The sequence below is a fragment of the Homo sapiens genome, chromosome 11, assembly GCF_000001405.40.
Source record: "Homo sapiens chromosome 11, GRCh38.p14 Primary Assembly".
Classification (NCBI taxonomy): Eukaryota; Metazoa; Chordata; class Mammalia; order Primates; family Hominidae; genus Homo; species Homo sapiens.
This window is the reverse complement of record NC_000011.10, coordinates 115,763,013-115,766,971: the sequence shown is the minus strand read 5'-3', so window position 1 is coordinate 115,766,971 and position 3,959 is coordinate 115,763,013. Positions and strand designations below refer to the sequence as shown.

The window sequence follows — 3,959 nt, the reverse complement described above, 5'->3', positions numbered from 1 at the left end:
GGAGCCTCGTAACTTTCCAATTTTTATTTAAAAATAAACCTACTGCCGTGGCTGTCACTACTTCTATGCATGTAATGCAAACTCGAATCCCACTGCCCAATATTTATATACGAGAAGGTAAATGCTCTAAAGAGAAAAAATAAATCAGGTTAAATCTTACAAAAGGAGTAGGGAATTTGTCCAAAGAGAGAACTGGGAAGCCAGCATAGTCCTCTGAGGACCCCCTGAGTCAGCAGATGGAGGGTGGGGTTACAGAGGAACGCCAGGAGTATGTGTGGCCTATTCTGTGGCTTCTGAGCTTCACATTTGCCTGATGGGGAGGCTGATGGGCTAGTGGTGCAAGAGGAAGAGAAACAGAGGTATCCCCTGCATCTGGGACTCTTTATGCCTACTCTGGGCATAAAGGTAATGAAAAAATGATGCCCCAGCAGCAGATGTCAGATCTGCCCCTTCCTTTTCTAGGCTGGACCAGCCTCCTGAGCTTTCCTCCTTCACCAATAAGATGGTCCTGGAAATCTGCATTAAGGGTGTCAGAAGCACTTGCAGGGACCAGGTGTGGACAGACCACAAGACTGAAGAAGGGACCCAAGCATCAGGGAACATCCTAGAGGGATCCATGACCCTTGGGGCAAAATAGCAGATAGAAATGCTGGATTCCCCTGGAGCTTTCACAGCTGAGAGGGGATCCTCTTCCTTTCCTCTACCCAGGAAAATAGGGGCATTGCAGCAGGTTCTGAGGTCTGACCCTCAAGGTTGGTGATTGGGTACATAACGAAGGAGGAGTTCATTGGACAAACAGTTGTACAGTGGCATTTAGGGAGCAGCCTGTTCTAAGCACTGGCAGGAAGCCGATTGCATGTCATAGAAACCTCATCTGATCTGAAAGATCACGGAAAGCTGATGCAAGAAGCTATGCAAGTTACGAGCTGAAGAGTGAGTCAAAGATTAAATTGGCAAAGGGGAAAGAAAGAATAATGCATCAGGAGTAGAAGCACGCACAAAAGTCCTGAGGCATGCAGGAGTGTAGATTAAGGAACCAAGGGAAGGCCATGCAATGGAGCTCAGAAAGTGAGGAGAGAAGAACATAAGAGGAGGCCAAGGAAATAGCAGGGACAGGTCACGTGGGGCCTTGCTAAGGATTTTGGTCTACACCCTAGGAGCAATGGGAGACCATTGCAGAGTTCAGGATTTGAGTTGAAAAGAGCCCTCTGCGGTGTGGAGAATAACTAGAGGGGTCGGCATGTGTGGGGTGAGTGAGGAAGCTGGAACCAGCAGAAGACTGTAACACTTTAGCCTGTGGTGGTGGCAGAGAATGAAGGCTAAGGAAGAGAGCCAAGTAATCATTCGGAAGTAAAATCAGCAGAGACCTTGTGGTCAACTGGATAAGAGGGCAGAGAGAGTGGGGACCCCAGGTTCCTAGTTTGTGCAAATGAAAACACAGCATTTCTATACATGGAGGAAAGGAATAATGGAAGAGAGCCAAGACTGAGAATGAAGGCAGTGAATTCAGTTTCAAAAATATTGAGTTGGAGGCAGCTTCAAGATGGTTAAGTGGAGATTTCAGGTTTGCTGTTGGAAATACAGCTCTAAAGTGTAGAGGAGAGGTCTGATTTGGAGGCAAATGAGGGAGTCTTTGGCATATGGATGATGATTAAAGCCAATTCCATGGGAAAGATCACCTTTGGGGGAGAATATAGAGTAAGAGGAAGTGAGGGCCAAAACTTGAAGAGCCCCATTGTGCAGATGTCAGATAGCAGAAGAGGACAAGCCTGCCACAGAGACTGGGGAAAAGCCCCCCAGACAGAAGAAAGGAATCCAGGAGCATAGGACTATGCTCTGGGAGAAAGGAGCATCATCTCCCAGTGAACAGGGAGGAGGGCATTTCAATGAAAGAGAGTGGTCAGGAAGGTGTACTATCACTGCAAGGTCAAGGGAAATGAGGAGTAAAAAATGTCCATTAGATAGAGACATCAACCCAAGGTCACTGGGAACCCAAGCCATAGCTGTGTCTGTGCACATATTAAAGGAGCCAATGCACACGAGGCACCCTGTGCAGCAACTGGCACGTAGTCAGCTCTCAGTAAATGTCAGCTTTTGTTAAATTCACTCTTTAACATGTATACATCTAATATTCTCCTATTCTATTGAAGGAGGAAAAGAAGGAGACACAGGTTAACATCTTAACAGGAGAGCTTGAGATTAAACCCAGAGAACTTCCAGACAGGAAGGGCTGTAAAATGCCTGTAAAGGCTATTAAAGAATATGATAGGACTCTGGATAAACTTAGGCTCAGGACAGATTCCTGTGTGGCGTCTGAGACAGGACTAATGCAGCTCTTCCTTGAGGCAGGGGACCCACCCCAGTCATCAGGGTGGATCATTTCTGCACTGGGTGGCCCTAGCCCTTCCTCCCCTGCCCCCATGGAGACGAAAGCTGTCCTGTGAAGGAAAAGCCTCCTCATTTCAATGGCTGGGCAGCCCAGGTTAACATTAACAGAGTCCTCCAGCAGAAAGCACCCAGAGGACAAGCACTGAAAAATATGCTTGAAGGGCCAGCCGAGTGGCCAGGATTACAATGTGATGCCCGGCCTTGGGTCAGTAATGGGGAGGTATTAGTCATCTCTTCAGACCTCAGCTCCATTATTTTTGCCAGAAATGTGAGAACAGCTCTCACTAATAACGTGTGGAACCACTTCCAACTATTTGCCTTTCAAGTCAGCCTCCTCAGGTCGGGTGACATATCTCGTTTAACAGGGGGTGCCATTAGAGGGAAGATTTAACGTGTGGCTAAAAGCATTTGTAGCGAGAGCTGTGGGTGGGTTCCTTTTTAAGCTTCTGTGGCTGGTAACTTGCGTCTCTTCCCTCCGTGCTGTTGGGTTTTGTTGTTGAAGCCTTTTTCTTTCCTGAAGGAGGTTGGTCATTAACTCTACCCTTCCCGGAGGATCCCCTGGCATGAGCAGGGCAGGTCGAGAGTTGAATTAGAAAACTTTCCTGTGCCAATCAGAGACTGCATGAGGTTCAGCAGGCTGGCATAATTATTTGAAGCTTCTTGCTATCCTCATACAATTCCCCCCCAATCAGGTGACCTGGTGTCCCTTGATATTGATGTCTTACAGCAATAACCTTAGCCTTGAAAACAGAACCACAAATTTACCAGCCCACAGAATCTGTATATCTACCAACAACATGAGTCCTGCCTCTTCTCATGCCTTGAGAGGGCCAACAGTCATGCCAGGAAGAGTGGAAAGAAGAGGGCTGAGAATCTGGAAAAAGAACTTGTTATTTTACTGAAATCTCCTTTCTTGACATTTTTCCCTGAAGGCTGGGACCATTTAAGGCCCTGATGAGCTTCCGAAATCTCTGTCCCAGGGTAATCTTCCTATCTCCCAAAGTCTCAACCTCTCGAGACTCTGATTCTTTGTCTGAACACAGAGAGAGTAATAGCTACCTATCAAATGAAAGGCTATAGTTAGAAGCACTGAGCACAGGGCTTTGCACATGGGAGGGGCCCAATAAACATATATCACTTACATCATTTTTGGTTATAAGTTACAAGTCATAGAAAATCCAACCAAAGTGCCTAAATAGAGGGAATTTATTGGATTGTATAATTAAGAAATCCAGGGCTAGGCCTGGCTTTGGGAATCTAGCTGGTGGCTCATGAAACTCTCTCCAGGGTCAAGTTTCTCTCTGGCCATCCCTTGACTGGGCTTCCTATGTCCTGGCTCCAGGTCATTCAAGGCTTGGTGGCAGCAAGATGACAGCAGCTGTATTAGTCCCAAGTCCAACAGAGAAAAGGCTGCTCTTCCTCTACCTCATCCCCCAACAATTCACCTAAGTCCTAAGCCAGACACTCACTGGGCAAGTTGGGTTATGGACTCATCCCTGAGCCAATCGCCAAACCTTAGGCCTTGGAGTGTGATGACTGGGTTTACCCCTGAGTCTCAAATTCCACCTGAA

At 47.0% G+C, this 3,959-nt stretch overlaps 1 long non-coding RNA gene across 1 annotated transcript in view; it reads right to left on the bottom strand.

Annotated features, from left to right (window-relative positions):
* LINC02698 (long intergenic non-protein coding RNA 2698) overlaps window positions 1-3,959 on the bottom strand; it is a 242,222-nt gene that overhangs the window by 134,603 nt on the left and 103,660 nt on the right. The window lies entirely within an intron of this gene.